The 18,151-nt window shown below is 35.8% G+C and overlaps 1 protein-coding gene across 1 annotated transcript in view; it reads right to left on the bottom strand.

Moving 5' to 3' along the window:
- MAGEC3 (MAGE family member C3) overlaps window positions 1-12,665 on the bottom strand; it is a 59,517-nt gene extending 46,852 nt beyond the window's left edge. The window contains exon 1 of the mRNA NM_138702.1: window positions 12,543-12,665. Coding sequence (NP_619647.1) covers window positions 12,543-12,665 — 123 coding nt within the window. The remainder of the gene's footprint in view (window positions 1-12,542) is intronic.

Genomic DNA, 18,151 nt, shown 5'->3' with positions numbered 1-18,151 from the left:
TCTGAGCTTGGTCTTTGTGTGTGTGTGGCTTTTTCATTAGAAATTCAATCTTTTGTGATAGTTATATTCAGATTTTCTATTTCTTCTTGAGTCTGATTCAACAATTTTGAGTCTTTCTAGGGAATTAATCAGTTTCATCTAAATGTTCTAATTTTGGGCATAAAATTTTCATAGTATTCTCTTATAATCTTTTTATCTTCTTTAAAGTCTATAGTGATGTCTTCTTTTCAGCACTGGCTTCGGTGATTTGTCTGTGATGGTTGATTTTATATGTCAATTTGTCTGGGGCATACTGCCCAGATGTTTGGTTAAACATTATTCTGGATATTTTTGTGAAGTTGATTTTTGGAAGAGATTAATACTTAAATTAGTGAACTTTGAGTGAAACAGATTACCCTCCATAATGTGTGGGGGTATTGTTGAACCATGGAAGGGCCTTAATAGAATAAATATTGACTTCCTCTGAGTAAGAAGGAATTTTGCCAGCTGATTGTCTTTGAACTTGGACTATAACACTTTCCTGCATCTCCAGCTTATTTGCCTATCTGGCAGATTTTGAACGTACACCTCCACATTCAAGTGAACCTTTTTTTAAAAATTTCAGCTTTTATTCTACATATAAGGGGTACAGGTGCAGACTTATTACGTGGTATATTGCACAGTGCTGAGGTTGGAGTATAGATCCTATCACCCAAGTAGCGAGCATAGTACCCAATAGGTGGTTTTCCTACCCATGCCTCCCTTCCTCCCTCCCTGCTCTAGTAGCCTGCTGTTTCTATTGTTCACATGTTTATGTCTATGTGCGCACAGTGTTTATCGCCCACTTAAAAGTGAGAACATGTGGTATTTAGTTTTATGTTTCTACATTAACTCGCTTAGCATAATGGCTTCCAGCTCCATTCATGTTGCCATAAAGGATATGATATTATCATTTTTATAGCTGCATAGTATTCCATGATGTACATGTACCACATTTTAAAAAATCCAGTCAACCTTTGATGGGCACCTAGGTTGATTGCATGTCTTTGCTATTGTGAATAGCACTGTGATGAACATATGAGTGCATGTGTCTTTTTGGTAGAATAATTTCTATTCCTTTGAGTATATATCAAGTAATGGGATTGCTCTGTTTTAAGTTCTTTGATAAATCTCCAACTCCTTTCCACCGTGGCTGAAGAAATTTTCATTCCCAACAACGGTGTATAGGCATTCCTTTTTCTCTGCAGCATTGCCAGCGTGTGTTATTTTTTGACCTTTTAATAGTAGCCATTCTGACTGGTGTGAGGTGGTATCTCATTGTGGTTTTGATTTGTATTTCTCTGATGATTTGTGATGCTGAGCAATTTTTCGTGTTTGTTGGCTACTTTCATGTCTCCTTTGGAGAAGTGTCTGCTTATGTCCTTTACTAATTTTAATAGGGTTGATTTTTCCTTATTAAGTTCCTTATAGATTCTGGATATTAGACCTTTGTTAGATGCATAGTTTACAAATATGTTGTCCCATTCTGTAGGCTGTTTACTCTGTTTGGCTCTTTAATTTAATTAGGTCCCACTTGTCAATTTTTGATTTTATTGCTGTTGCTTTTGGGGACTTAGCCATAAATTATTTGCCAAAGTCAATGTCAAAAAAAGTGTTTCCTAGGTTTTCTTTTAGGATATTTATAGTCTGAGGTCTTCCATTTAAATTTTTAATTCATCTTGAGTTAATTTCTATATATTTAATGAATGGTAGTGGTTCAGTTTCATTCTTCCGCATATGGCTAGCCAGGTATCCCAGCACTATTTATTGAACAAGGGGTCCTTTCCCCACTGCTTGTTTTCGTTGGCCTCGTCAAATATCAGATGATTGGAGGTGTGTGACTTTATTTCTGAGTTTTCTTTTCTGTAAGAGACACATTGGTCTGTGTGTCTGTTTTTATACCACTACCATGTTTTTTTGGTTATTGTAGCCTTATAGTATAGTTTGTAACTGGGTAATGTGAGGCCTCTGACTTTGTTCTTTCTATAAATGTATTTATTTTAATTTTTGTGAGTACATATTAGGTGTATCCATTTATGGGGTACATGAGATATTTCGATACAGACATGCAATGCATGATAATTACATCAAAGTAAATGGGGTATACATCACCTCAGGTATTTGTCCTTTCCTTAGTATTGCTTTGGCTATTCAGGCTCTTTTTGGATTCCATATGAATTTTAGAATAGTTTCTTCTACTTCTGTAAAGAATGATGTTGGCAGTTTGATAGGGATAACATTGAATCTATAAATCGCTTTGGGCAGTATGACCATCTTAACAATATTAATTCTTTCAATCCATAAACAAGTAATTTTTTTTCATTTATTTGTGTTGTCACTGATTTCTTTTCTCTATGCTTTGTAGTTCTCCTTGTAGAGATCTTTCACCTACTTGCTTAGATATATTTCTAGGTATTTCACTTTCGTTTGGCTATTTTAAATGAAACTGTGTTCTTCGTTTGACTCTCAGCCTGGATGTTATTTGTGTATAGAAATGCTACTAATTTTTGTACATTGATTTTGTATCCTGAAACTTTACTAAAGTCGTTTATTAGTTCTAGAAGCCTTTTGGTGGAGTCTTCAGGGTTTCCTATTTATAGAATCATATTGTCAGTGAAGATAGATAGGTTGACTTCTTATTTTTCTGTTTCTACATCTTTCATTTTTTTTTCTCCTTTCTGATTGTTCTGGCTAAGACTTTCGGTAATATGTTGAATAGGAGTTGTGAGAGTGGGTATCCTTGTCTTATTCCAGTTCTGAGAATAATAAGTGAACCATTCATTAAAATAAATATCTCTCTATATAGCTGCCTCTTTAGATACACATGTATGTGTATACATATGTATACATATAGATGCGTGTATATATATTTATACATACATACTACACACACATATGTATACATACACATACACACATGCATACCCTGTTGATGGTCCTGTTTCTCTGGATAATCCTGACTATGCAATATCCACTCTCCTAATTTCTTGTTCAGTCTAGGTACAAGGCTGTCAATTTTGTTTTCATTTTCAAAGAATCAACATTTAGCTGCATGGATTTTCTGTATTTACTTTGTTTTTTCTTTTATTAATTTCTGCTTTAATCTTTATATTTACTTTTTCTGTATGCTTTGGATTTAATTTGCTCTTCTTTTTCTATTTCTGAAGGTAGAAGTTGAGATTAATTTACTTAAGATCTTTCTTCTTTTCTAATATAAGCATCATAGCTATACATTTCCCTCTAAACACTGCTTTAGCCAGACCCCATAAATTCTGATATTTGGTTTTATTTTTATTCAGCTAAAGACATTCTTCTAATTATCTGTACGATTTATTTGTTAGCCTATGGGTTATTTGAAATGTGTAGTTTAATTTTTCAATTGTTTGTGTATTTCACAAATTTATTTCTTTGTTGATTTCTAATTGAACTTCATTGTTTTGGAGAACATACTTATCAATATTACACATACTTTCTTTTGGAATATTCAGTCTTCTCTGAAGCATTTGATATCTATAACTATGACTGGACTGTGGCAGTGATTAAGAAATCCATCCATAATGACCTATGAACATCTTCAGAAGGTGCTATGTTGGGATGGTTGGTTATTTCAGATTATGTGGTGTATCATGAATTGAATGAGGTAAATCTGCCCAATAAGTGCTCTATAAGGTAATGAAATTATGATGTGAATGAAATCTACAACTCTTTTGGTTGAATAACGTGAAAGAGGGTAACAAGTGCTTGTTCTCCTCTCATGCAACAGCCTCAGAAACCCAATGTGTCCTACAACACAGTTGGAAATCACTAGAGTACAGAATTCCCAACATACTGCCCTATTTCTAAATTCTATGATTCTAAAGTTCATCTAATACATAATATAGGTGAATGGGATTTTATTCAGATATTCTCATTCATGTGAAATTACCATCTATTTAGTGTATAGTAAATAATGCACTGGGGTAATTGCTTTTATTTTATTGTACTTAATTCTATAAGCCCAATGAAACAGGTACCATTATCATTATCTTATGAATGAGAAAAATGAGACTCAAGAATTTGTCCAGTGGAAGTAAACTACAGCTTCCCATAAAATGAGAGTAATATGACCTATTCCAGAAGAACTAAAGTTAGCAACAACAGTAGTTTATCATAATTTAACAATGGAGCTCATTAAATGACAACAACTGTCAAATTATATATAAAGTCAGTGCAAAAACTTGGATGCACATAGTTACATTCTTACTCTTCTAGGTAATGAAGATATTGTGTTGTTGAGATATTGTTGAACCAGAGTAGAATTAACATACTGTAAAAGTAAATGATGAGATATAATTAGTTTTGTTACCATCTTGGGGGGACTTGAGAAAGAGAAGGCACAATAAATAATTAAAATGAGTTTGTGAGTTAAGAGAGAATTACAAGCCTTCTGAAAACATAGGTAGCGTCTTTGTCTGTACTATTAAATATTTTCATCTCATTGTCCTGTTAGGATCCCTTAAGGAGGCAAGACTATTAGAAAAGGTGGGAGTCTCAGTACTCACAGTAAACTGCCAATCATAGAGATTTGTATATTGTAGCAACTCGCCTGTTGTTAAATCTCATCACCCACTCCCCCTCTTAGGCCAGCAAGTTTAGAGGTGTAATCAATTGTAATAGAAAGCAACTGTAGATTTCTGAATGCATAAGTACATTATCCTATCAGTTGGAAAAGGAGTGGAAAGTAACTGGAACACATTTATTTAAAAAAAAAAAAAAACACTGGTGAGGAAGCAACAAGAATTTAAAAACACATGGGAACTGGCTGTTGAGTAAGCAGTGCAGATCTGAATCTGAAACGGAATAAAGACCAAGAACCACTAAATTGGTGGAAATGAACTTACCTATTATGTGCTAGGAGCTGTCTGTCCTCTCCGTATCTTAGCATCTGGTATCACAACTAAAACATAATACATTTTCAATATATGATGTTAGACCCTGTTTTAGATGCTTAAAATTTATTATTTAACTTACTTTCACTATACCTCTATCACATATGTATTCATATGTATTATAATATCCACTTTACAAATGAGGGCACTTAAGTGCAGAAAAGATTCCTAGTCATACAGCTAATGAATGCAAGTGCCAGGATTTGGTCATAAACAGTTGCCCATAAATCCTTTTTCAACGAAACTATTCTACTTTACAGAGCTTTTTCTCCCCTATAAGAGCTTAATTAATACAACCACAACAAAATAAGTAACTCTTAAATAGTAACTAATTCTATTAGTTTCTCTAAAATAATACAACATACAACATAACAACTATAATAAAACATTAAATAAATGGGAGTCAGGTGTCTACTGGCAAATTTGTTAGCATTTAAAGGTTAGCTAGCTCATAGAAGTTGAATGTCAGTAGAGATATATTCACTTAATACATTTACACCTCAAGCATAACTTCTGTTTTGTCACCATATAAATCCCTTTGTTAAAAATACGACTGGAGCTGAAATGATGATATTTACGACTTTTATTCGGCAAAACTTAAAGCTTAATATTGGCATATAAGACTTTAAAGATAATTTATCATATATTTCTTACCAAAGCCTTATGAAAAGTTTTGCTGTTATGTGTGGAAATTTTTTTCTACCATCATAAAGACTATTCTCATTTATCACTATAAACAGAGTTGTACGCAATCAATATCTGTATGCAAGTTTTGCACTCCAAAGAAAATAAGCATTTTACCTCTCTTTTAATTTAGTTCTTTATTTGTATCTAAATGAAATTATAAGTACATTTGCAAAATGTCCTTGGCACTAACTGCAAAACTTGGGAAATTATTTTTGAGATTTCCTACAAATCATCACTTTACATTATTCATACCTAAATTAAACCAAGTACGAAAAAGTGCCTCAGACTACCTTTTTATATTACTCAAAATGCTGATGCAGAAGAACTAGCAAAGGAAATATCAATGAAGAAAATATTGTATCAGTAAACATATACTATATCCTAGAATGGCTGAAAACGTTAGCGCTTAAAAAAAAATTACCAATTACTTTTGAGAAATAAAATGTCTTGTGAGCTAATGAGAAAAAAAATGTTCAATTACACTAGAGGGTATTTCCAAAACTTTCCTAGAAGGCTGAATCATATGTTTGGTAATGTTGGCATTGGTTTTTATTACTTCTAAATAAAAATTTCTCGTTAATGCAAATACTATACAGATATTTTAAATTGGAAAGGAAAATAATCTGAAGAAATTATCTGGAATACTGCCTAATAAAAACAGAGATTAAATTATAAAAAATAAATTAAAAGATGTGGTGTATTGAGTGAGAAGGTCTCACATATATGTAACTAAAATCTCAATAGACTCTAGAAAATAGGAGTCAAGGAAATAGTCAAAGAGATAATTGATGTTTTTCCACAATTTTTGAAGACATTAAACTTCAAATACAGAAAGACCAACAAATTTTAAGTGAAATAAATGAAAACAAATGCACACCTAAACACATAACAGTGAAACAGCAGAATACCAAAGGCACACAGAAGATATTAAAAGAATTCAGAGGGAAAAGATAATTCACATATTGCAACTACACTGAGAGCTGACTTTTCAGCAAGGGAATGAGAAGGGATTAGGCCCACCAAGCTAAACTCATACGCCAAATTTAAATATTTTTCAAATGTGAGGGTGAAACAATGACATATTCAGACAATAGAAAGTTTGAAAATTTGCCACCAAGCAATGTAAGTGCCCACTGGAAGAATATTAATACATAGATTTTAGTGTATTCATAAAATGGAATGCTGTACATCAGTAAAACTAAGTGAACTATAATTGCACATATCCACAGGATTGAATTTCAAAAACATGATATCGGACGGAAAAGTGTCAGAATAACTTACACAGTATGACATGATACGTATAAGCTTCAAAATCAGGGACAACTGCAAAATATATTGTTGAGGGATATTAACATCATACACTCCAAAGAGAAGAGAAAGGGAATAAGTACTACAAAGTTCAACGTGGTGGCAATCCCTGGATAAGGGATGCGCTTGAGGAGAGCACATGGAAAGCTTTTTAATTTAATGGTAATATTATATTTCTTAAGACTTCTGAAGGTGTCTGTCTGCTTGTTTACATTGCACTTATATATACTCTTTTGAATATTTAAAATGAAAACAAACTAACATCAAAAACCCTATGGGGGCACGCTTGGTATGTGGGCAAGGCTTACTAATCAGAGGGATTTGCCTTTGATTATCTGGGTAGGGATTATGCTGGCAATCATCTAAATGGTATCAAAGTTTTTGCTCTTGAGTCATTCAATTTCTTAAGAGAATGTCTGATATTTCTTCTGGAGTTGTATACCTGCTTGAGGAGCATTCTGTTCATGGGGTGATATATAGTTTGAAGGAAGTTTATTTTTCCCTCACACGTATTCTTTAGAGAAGATGAGCTTTCTCTCCAGCTCAAGGTTGCTATAATTGGACAATGTATGCACAATAAACTTATTCAAGTCAGAAACAATACAAAAATATGTAGCTAGCCACTAATAAGGGAGTATATGGGTTGTCTAAATTAGCTGATAGCAAGTCATTCTTGTGCGCAGAGACAAAAAGATGTACTCCGGCCTAGTAGCTTCTATAACACAGGTTGATGGCCTTACTCCTGTAGAGTAAGGGACAGCCTGCAGAGGCTGTGAATTCATACATTAAACTCAGATCAACCCTCCAATCATATTTTTCTAACTACATAGCCTTGAAGCTGTTGTATGTATAAAGCTGGAATTTGTGTGTTTTCTGTTACTCTAATCATCTTGTGAACTAGAGACTGGCCATCATTCATTTACATGATAAAGCGTTTTATGAATAAATTGCCACATTTCTCTATGCCTCTGCAAATGCAGGTGCAATAAATTTCAAGAACGTAGATTTATTCTCAAAATTATAAATGACAGAGAAGAAGCAATAATTTAATGAACTCCACAATGTGTGTGTCAAACAAACCTGGCTCTTATAAGTGAAGTTAGAATGACTTTTGTTGCCACCTAGAGCAATAGCAATCAAAGGGAAAACATAAGACTTATAGTCTAATAAATGTAGAACTAACAATGTAGGAGCTAACAATGTTATATAGCTAACAATGTAGGAGAGATGAAGTGTTTTAGGGATGTTTATGAAGTCTAAGAGTGTAAATTGAGAGGTTTCATTCCCGGGTCTGCCAGTGATTCACTGTGTGGGCTAGAAGAAGTCACTTTCATGGGAGTAATTTAAGTCTTTATTTATATTTCCAGGGTGCGATACCTTGAGAGGAGAATCTACTTGTGGAATACATTAAACACAAAGAAAATCACAAAGGCCATGAATAAAAGGGGATGTATTTCTTTCTTGAACAAAGATGCCACCACTACCACTAACCTCTCCTTCTTGAACAAACGTGACAACACCTACCACTAACCTCTTCTGACATTTCATCACAAGTTCATTCCAAGTTATACAGGATGCTTAAAGTGTATTCAGCTTTGAATTGTTTTTAAAATATACGATAGTTAAAAGGCTACAGAGAATCTGGAAAAGTAAGAACAGACATCTGAAATTCCATAAAATCACTCAGCTGCTACTACAGTCTGTTATAATTTTCATTGTTTCATTGAAACAATGCAACAAAATCATTGAAACAAAAAATGAGCAAGTTTCATTCCTTGCTAGTTTTCATTGTTGCATACATCTTATAAAGTTGTACTTATATTTTATGCATAATGTTGTGTCGTGCCTTGTTAATTTATAACAAATAATTTAAGTTTATCTTAATATTATAATTTGTAATATAATTTTAATGGCTGCACAGCATTCAGTCAAGTAATTGTATGAACCAAGTACCAAAACACTACAGTTCATACTATTAAGCAATTTAAATATTCATACACTTCCAACTTTCTCAATACCTAATTATCACACTAGAAATATTTAGGCATTTTCGTGGCCCAAAAATAATACTTCTTTCAATACACATCATTTTAAACACACAGTTCGGTTAAGATCTTTCATACTGAAGCCCAAATAGAAGGATGTTTTATGAGTGTTCTGCGAGTCCTTCATGTGCCAGCAAATATGCTAATAGCAGTCCCTTTTCTCAAACAGATCACATCATATTGGAAAGTTAGCAAAATAGACTGAAAAGGAAGGGTACTATTTCAAAAGCCGTGAAGGGGCATCTAGAAGCAAACGGTCATCATTGACAAATGTTCCAGAGAGGTCAGGTAAGAGGCAAATTGATCAGTCCCAGTCAGTAAACAGATATTACTTGAATGCTTAATATGTGTCTACTAAGTCTCATTTAGGATCTGGTGGACAAGGCTGAGTCCCTTCCCTCAATAATATTTTATGCTAGTGGGGGCAGAAAGAAAATAAACACATAAACAAATATCTACAGTTGATTTCTTATTTTTTGACTTTTAGGTTCAAGGATATATGTGCAGGTTTGTTATATAGGTAAACTCTGTGTCATGGGGGTTTGGTGTACAGATTATTTCATCACCCAGGTAATATGTATAATAACTATAGATAGCTTTTTGATCAAGTACTAGGGACTATCAAGAATGTAAAATACGGCAATATGTTTGCGAATGTCATGAGATTTAACTCAGGTGGTCAGGAAATTCCTCTTTAAGAAGATGCAATTTGTTTGGAGACCTGAAATATCCAAAAGGAGTCTTTGGATTTGATAATTAAAATGGCTTTGATGGTCTTGCAAAGTACAGCTTTATTTGAGTGGTAGAGACAGGAGTCAGAGAGCACCAGGTTGAAGAAAGAGTGACTGGTAAGTAAGAAGAGACAGACAAGAAGCTTCACTCTTGTGAGGCTTAAGTGGAAAGAAAAGAAGAAAGAAGAAAAGAAGTGAGAAGGAAAAGCAGAGTGAAGTTATTATCACATTATTTTTTACAATTCACCTTTAAAGTGGTTCCTGATGCTTCCTCTTACTTAAATTTTTATTTAATATTAAACATATTTATAAACTATAGTTAATTAGCCAGTAGAAAGGCAGATGTTGAAAATACAGAAAAAAAAAGAAGCAGTGGAGCAAGGTCCATTCTCAATCCCCTTGAATAGAACAATTTATTCATTAACTATTTACTGAGCATTTTTGTGTTTGTTTTGTTTTTGTTCTTGTGGGGTTTTTTTTTTTGATGTGAAAAACACACAAAAGCATAACTACCCACTGACCAATTTTGCAGGAGGACTCATGCTAATGCTAATACATCAGGCTGAATTTTAGACAGAATGGTTGAAGAAAATAAATGCTGAACAGTCCACTTTAATATGGCAATTTAGTGAGGAGAGGCACTCTCTCCCATTTAGAGACACAAGAAAATATTGCTTCTGTGAAAATCTTCTTAACATGGAGATGTTAGTAATGATGCCAAATTTATGAAATGTTCTTAAAGAGGTCTGAACAAAGTTTGCTACATAGAACAAATTCAAAATAATATGTAATTATATGTTTTTCCAATATCATATACTTTTGAAAAATGCAAAATCTTGTGCTAAATGTAACTTTCACTTTCTTAAATCACTTTTATGTCAATATTCTTATGAAAATATTTCTTAAAATTAAATGATATTTTATGACCTGATATTCTCTACTTGTCATTTATTTAGATTGCAAGCTAAAAACTAATTAGAAAGACTATACTTTTGCTGTTAACTTTCTCAGAGGTAAAATATCACTTTTCTTTAGTGGTTTGTGATGCTATGAATGAATACTTTCCAGGTTGGGTATTTCCTGGCTGTTAAATATCAGTTAAGTTTTGGCTGACTTCACCTCCATCTATCAACCTCCCTGCCAATCATTTAACAGCTATAGAATAGGTCTCCTCACACAAATCCTTCAGGAAGAATTTCCATTGTGCACATTCTGACCAGAAGAAAAAATGCAGCAAATTTTTGGAAAGTGAATCATTTTTAGAGTTCTGAGCAAATTATGTTAAACTCAGGGTTTCTCACTGTCAGCACCATCACATTTTAGGCAGTATAATTCTTTCTTGTGTGAGGTCGTCCTTTGTCCAATAAGACGCTTAGAAGCATCTCTGTCTCTGCTTATTAAATACCAGTAGCATTCCCTGCTGCCACCAATTATGACAACCAACAATATTTCTAGATATTGGCAAGTATCCCCTAAGTGGCAAAATCTCTTCCAGTTAAGAACCACTGAGTTAAGAACAGTAAGTAATGATCCAGGGAAAATGGATATAAAGATATTAAAAAGCTAGTAAAGCATTTGACATATTAGAAATGCATATAAACAATTCATATTTATAAAATAAAATCTACTGAAGATATAATGAATAAACACTTGTTTTGGTGAGCAAGCTTGGGATTGCAGCTGTGGGCCTGGAAGTGGTAGGAGCTGCAAAGCCTGCCCAGGATTAGCTGTAGCCAGAGCCGGCAGCCAAGACAATAGCAAAGATCAATTTGACCTCAAGATATAATCAAATATGACAGCAGAGTGAATGAAGCTTTTATTTTGCTCCGTTCTTCTCCATAATCCTTCTTATGCCCATAATCATTATAATTACATAAAATATTTAAAAACCTTTAAAAATTATTTCTTGGAAACCATGAATATGGCAGACTAGAGGCATTTTGTACTCACTTTCTCCATTAAAAATAACCAAACGGTGAGTCGATAATCACACTTTGAATATATAATTCAAAGGAAATCACTGGAATCCATTAGAAAAGTGATAGGCAATACTTAAAGCAGAGATGGAGAGGGAATCAAGGCAGCCTGCTCATCCAGGATCAGCTGTGAGCTGAGAGACTCCAAATACAGAGAAAGGATAGGTGAGAGAGCCTCAGTAGTTTACATTCTCACTATAGACTCCTATAATCCCAGCCACAGGAGATCCCTTCAACCATCATGGGCCCCGAAACTAACATAGAAAGCTGCCAGGAGATTGTATGATGGCACTGCTTCAGGGAGAAAGCTCCCGCTGGGTCCCTCACACTTCTTGAGACTTAAGCAGCTACAACAAAGTACCATTTTAGAGCCCTGCCCTCAACAGACTGAGCACTGTCCTGGAGCCCAGTAGCCCAGGGCTGAGGTGCAAGAGAAGCACGAACTGCTGCCCCAGGGACATAGGCATCAGTGACTACAGACTACAGCATCTGGTGCAGAGGTGGGACGAAGGCGTGGGCTGCTGCTTTTAGGACTGAGGCACAAATGAGGCACCACTGCAGAGCCTCACCCCCGATGAACTACATACTGTCCTGGAGCCCAGTGGCATTGAGGCCTAGGTGCAAACTAAATGTCTGATGTTTCCCTGGAGATTCAGACATGAGCGACCACAGGCTACTGCAACCAAGGGAAAGACATGAACATCAAGGCTGGGCAAGATAGCATCTTAGAGCCTCACCCCCAACAGACTGCACACTGTCTTGGAGCCAAGCAACACTGAGGCTGAGATGCAAAAGAAGAGCTGGCTGTTAACCTGGGGCTTAGACATGAGCATTCATGGGCTACCACACCTGGGGCTGAGGTGGGAGCACCACTGGGGATAAGGCATATGTGGCACATGTGTTTTTCACCCACTGGCCTAGACTGCCATCACTGAAGGTGGCATCCAACACCCAGTGGCAGGGCAGCAGCATGGCCACTGCCACCCTGTCTTTACCAAAGAGATAGAGACCATAAAAAAGGAACGAACAGAAATTCTGGAGCCAAAGAATGCAGTGAATAAACTAAAAAATACACATGAAAGCTTCAACAATATACTCAATCATAACTGACTTATGTTAAGATCACATTTTGCTTGAAGACAGTTTTTTTTGAAATAACGCTGTCAGACAAAAATAAAGAAAAAAAGAAAATAATAAAATAAACCTTTGGAATCTATCTAACAACATAAAGTGACCAAATATAAAAATCACTGATAGCCCAGAAGGCAAAGAGAGAAAACATGTTTTCAAAGACCTATTTATTGAAATAATAGATGACACTTCCTAAGTCGAGCAAGACACTTAGACATTGAGATACAGGAGGCCCATCAATTCCTAAACAGATACAATGTGAAAAGGTCTCTTCCATAGCACATTACAGACAAAATATTTAAAGTTTTTTTTTTCTTTTTTTCCAAGATGGCAGATTGGAAGCATTATAAGCATACTTATCCCACTTGGTAAGACAAAATGGCATGTAGAGATTCATGCTGTAAAATTTATTCGAAGAAACAATGTAAGAACTTAACAGAAAAACTGAAAGAAACCACAGACCCTTTGAATGAAGTGGCAGGCAACAGACTACATCATAAAACAGATGGAAAACCATTAGTCCCCAGAGCATGAGAGAGGGATAGATTGCTGTCATGACATATACTCCCACAGGCGAGCCAGGCAATACAAGTCATGAGGGAGGACTTCAAACCTACTCAGCTCTAGAGGTGATTCAGTGAAAAGTAAGGAATATATAAGAAGGAGCAGCATCGGGACATGCTTTGTGTGCAGACCCAGATTCCAGCAAGAATGGAGGGAAGCCATTCCTGATCCCACCTCACGGGACGTTGCAGAAGTCTAACTCAGGCTGCAGTCACAGTTTGAGAGAAGAGCCCAACTGGGATTTGTGATATAATCCTTAGTAAGGACAAAGCTGATTGGCCAGAACCGAGGGGCAAGTGAGAAGTGTGCTACGGCAACAAGGCACATGAGCTGCATGGCCCTGCTTCACAGGTGGACTGGAAAGGATGCAGCCTGAAAGATATGGTTTCTGTGTCCATAGGGAAAGCTTATGGCCTGGGATGGTTTTAAATTCTGAGCACGGGCCACTTGAAACCCAGTTAGCTGCTGCTGCTAGCAGAACACTGTGGGTATGAAAACTGACTTGCCAAGTGTGTGGGAGCTGAGTGGGGCTTATTACAACCTGCTGCCTCCCACTTTTCAGGCAGATTTTTTGTGCAGCAGAGGCAGCTGTGTTCCTGCCTGGAACATTACCCCACCAGCCAGGGAACTGCCCTCGGATCCCCACTGGGGCCACTGCTTGCACCTGCACATGGGGAGCCAGAGTGCAGACTTGCCTGACTCAGTTTAATAACTTCTGAGGCACAATGAAATCATCCCAATGCCTCCATGTTCAATTTCAGGCACTAACAAGTCCCTGAGGTATTAAATGCATTGCTTTTCTGCGGTCTTGCCACCTTCAGGAGCTTACTAAGAAAATGAAGAAGAGCCACGATCACTCCTCTCAATTAGCCTCTTCCCTTGGCTGAGAAATGTGTTTCCGGTCTTGAGAACACAGAAGTTTTGCATTTGCTCATGAGAGATCTGAAACCTTCTGACACTGCCCTGCATCTTTTCCATTCCCTCTAAATAGAGAAGACTCTTCTCCTGTCTCCTACCTTCTGCTCTGACATCCATTCACTAACACCTAGGCACAAAAAGCCTAGTTCACCCAATGGCAGAAACGGCTAAGGTGGGCCTCTTCCAAGCTATGAACAACATTTCAAAGCTTAAGTCCCTACCCTCTTCCAACACAATGTCCTTTTCATTCCTCTAGCTCAGTAGTGCTCAGATTGGGGGTGATTTTGCACCCCATCCCAAGAAGACATTTTGCAGTCTGGAAATATTTTTGGTTGTCACAACTGGGATGGCTCTTGGTGCTATCGGCATCTATTGAATAGAAACTAGGAATGCTGCTAATCATTCTAAATTCAGCAAGATGACACCCCCTCAAAAAAGCCCACAGAACTATCTGTCTCAAAATGTCAATAGTAATAAAGGTGAAAAACCCTGTAGCTCATTCCTTAATAGGCCACCCAAAGAGATTTTGGATGTTTTCATTTATAAAATTATGCATATATTTTGGCAAATCAACAGCTGTTTCTCACCACTGATGGTTAGACAAGGGAAAGAATAAGGAGACTGATATTATAATGAGCTCATTCTATGCCAGGTACAGTGCTCAATACTTCAGATTTATATTATCACATTTAATCTGTTAAAAATGTCCCAACATGTAGTAACAAGAGTTATTTTTATTTTACAAAGTTAAAAGAAAACTGAATTTTGAACAAATTGAAAGATCGATTCAGATTACAGCATCTGTAAATGGCAGAGCAGAAACTTACTATTAATGATCGCATGGCTTCAGAGCTGATGCCAGCCATCTCAATCTCACAAAGATCTCCGCATTCACTCATCTTTTACCCTCAAGCATTGTCTTACGTAGACATTCCTGACTTATTCCAATGGAAAGTCAAAAACAGAAATTTGATATTCAACAAGGAATATTATGTAGGATTTTGCTGTTGTTTCCTGAAAATTTTTCAATATACTGAATAAGCTATGGGAAAGCAAGCGGAAATAGTGTTGGCTTATAAAACCTCTCACCCTGTGACTAACCAAAATGAACAGAAAGGATTCATCAATGCTGAAACTTGAAACAAAACTGAGTCTTAATCAATATAATTCTTGAGGTATGATTCAGATCCAGTATAATTTGGCCCAGATTGAAAGAAGACTCAAAAATCAATATATAACCCCTATCACTACCTTGGTCCAGATATTCCAATTTGAAGAAGCAAGGAAATTAGACTTGAGCAGATCTGGAGGAAGTGTAGGCTGCACTGTGTGGAGCTTGTTTCTCCACTGCAAATAAGCATTCCTGAGAAACTAAATGCTGGACAAGATGCAAAGCCATACAACCGATGTGATTGCCTCCCTAACTACCTGCCAACCTGTAGTTTATCTTCCTTCTAAACAGACAGAATATCAGAGAGAAGTAGAAGCAATCTCTTGAGAATCATAGCCACAGCCTTCTGCACAGAAAAATACATAGGGTCAAACAAAACAAAAACCTCAACAACCCTGGACTTTTTATGAAAATGAATTTCTCACTTTGAGAGGGAGTAAACTGAAACACAAAAAGGCCATTCTTCACCAACAGATGAGAGCATGCCCCCAACACGGTGCTGCTGATGCCAGTGCATAGGAGCCAAAAAATCAAACTGAGCAACTAAGAAACAAACCAACAACTAAGAAAAAAACTTCCTGACTGCAACTACTCACAGCCCCAGATATCTCCTCACTGTCCCCCAAGCCCCCTGTTCCCATAAAGGAGCTAAATGACTGAACAAAGAATAAAAACAATAAATGTGCAAATTGTTCGGTGCATGTTTCAAGGCATTGGTCCAAAAAAATATGCAGACCAGTTCTGGAAGTTGGGCTAAAAAAGACAGATTCTGAAGCTGCAACTGGAAGATTTCTTTAGTAGGTCTGGAGGGGTGATTGATGCTCTGTACTTTTTCACATCCATGTTTGAGAACCACTGTTCAAAGTGGAGAGAGAGGGTTAAGTCAAAGATTTTCCTAGAACAGAGATATCAAGGAAAACGTATTCATCTATTTTTGGCAGTGGGGACAATCCATGGCCCCAATTCAAAATAAACGAGAAGAAAAACAAATAATAACAGCATAGCACCAATATGTAAAATGCTCTATAACATAGAAGGGAAGAGAACAGGAATACAGCAAGCAAAGACAACTAGCTAAGTAGTATTTGTTGCCAGGTTCTGCAGTAGTGGCTGAAGAACAAAAGTGACCACAGATATTTAACAAGTGGAGAAACTAAAAAATAACTCTAAAATCAATAGGAAACAATAAGGAACATAATCAACCCTATAAAAAATTTAGTAATTTAAAGTATAGGCTTGGGAAACATTAAAACTACACAGGAAATGAAGAGATTTTATAAATATATAGATGTATTCATAAAAACATATTTTCATAAATATGTGAAAACAGATCCAACGTTAGGATCACTGTTTTGGAATTAGGCTTACTCACTGTGGGACTGATTTTGGGAAGAAGTAATCATTTCTTCACTTTAACTTATTGTAATTTTGGCCTTAAGAACTAGCCAAAACTTATTTTGAATGTAGCTTTAACAAGAAATATTTATGTGACCCTGTCTCAATGTTTGACTCTTCTCGACTTCAGCTTTGTGCCCTGCAAATTGAAGATAAAATACGTTCCTGTCTCGCAAAGTGGTTGTGGGAGTTTTATAAATCCCTGAGAAAATACAAAGAAGGTTTCAAGCATCAGATGTGGCTATTAATATTTCATAGAGAAGAATTTAAAGAAACTCTTGTGGCTCTAAAAGTGGTATCTGAAAATTTTAAATTGAATGTGCATTTTAAAAATATAAAACAAAAACTTAGCAGAATAAAAATTAGTTGAGATCTTTGGTATTCTTCAGATAAGAAATGAAACAAAACAGGCTAAATAAAATCAGAGAAAAAAACTTAATGTGATGACACACGAGAACAAATATGTAAGTCAAATCAGCTCCCCACTTAATGAGAAGACTCATAGACAAATTAATGATAATAACCAATAGCATTATATTTATACAAACAAACACAAAACTTCCAAAGCAATGTGACTCAGAAAAGTTGAAAGTAAAAATTTTTGACTGAAATTTACCAGATGATATAAACAAAAATGGGAACAGACACCTATTCCTTTAAAAGGCAAAATTTGGAAATGGCACATCTCAACTCACAACTCATTAGAACTCAGTCACATGGCCAAGTGGAGTTGCAAAAGAAGCTGGGAAATGTAGTCTGGTCATTCACGCACCCAGCTAAACATCAAGTATTCTAGTACTGAAGGAGGGTTTGTGGAATAACTAGCAGTCTGTGACAAAGAGTATTGCTTTTAAATAGGGAACAAAGCAAGGGAGTTTGTGAGAACTAGTACTTCACGTTCCTGTGGAAGTGTCAGACAATACATTCAATCAAGGGACAGAATAATAATCACAGATGTCAGAAAGTAGAAGGAAAAATAATTATTATTTGCAGATAATATAAAATTATACCTGCAGAAGTCTAAAAATACCAACTGAAGATGTCGCAGCATCAATAAAAGCACAGAGTAAAATGAAAAATTATTTTAATAACTAATTTCATATAGTTAAACAATAACTACTTAGTAACTGCAATGAGAAAAAAGTCACATTGATAAAAGAACCAGCAGCAGCAACACAGCAACAACAGTAACACTAAATTTAATTCTTAGAAATAAACCTGATGTGAATTGGACAGAAGCAATGTGAAGTGGTTATGAAGTCTCCATAGTAAAGCCAAA

The sequence above is a fragment of the Homo sapiens genome, chromosome X (genome assembly GCF_000001405.40).
Source record: "Homo sapiens chromosome X, GRCh38.p14 Primary Assembly".
Lineage (NCBI taxonomy): Eukaryota > Metazoa > Chordata > Mammalia > Primates > Hominidae > Homo > Homo sapiens.
The sequence above is the reverse complement of the archived record's forward strand: the minus strand, read 5'-3'. Positions and strand labels throughout refer to the sequence as shown.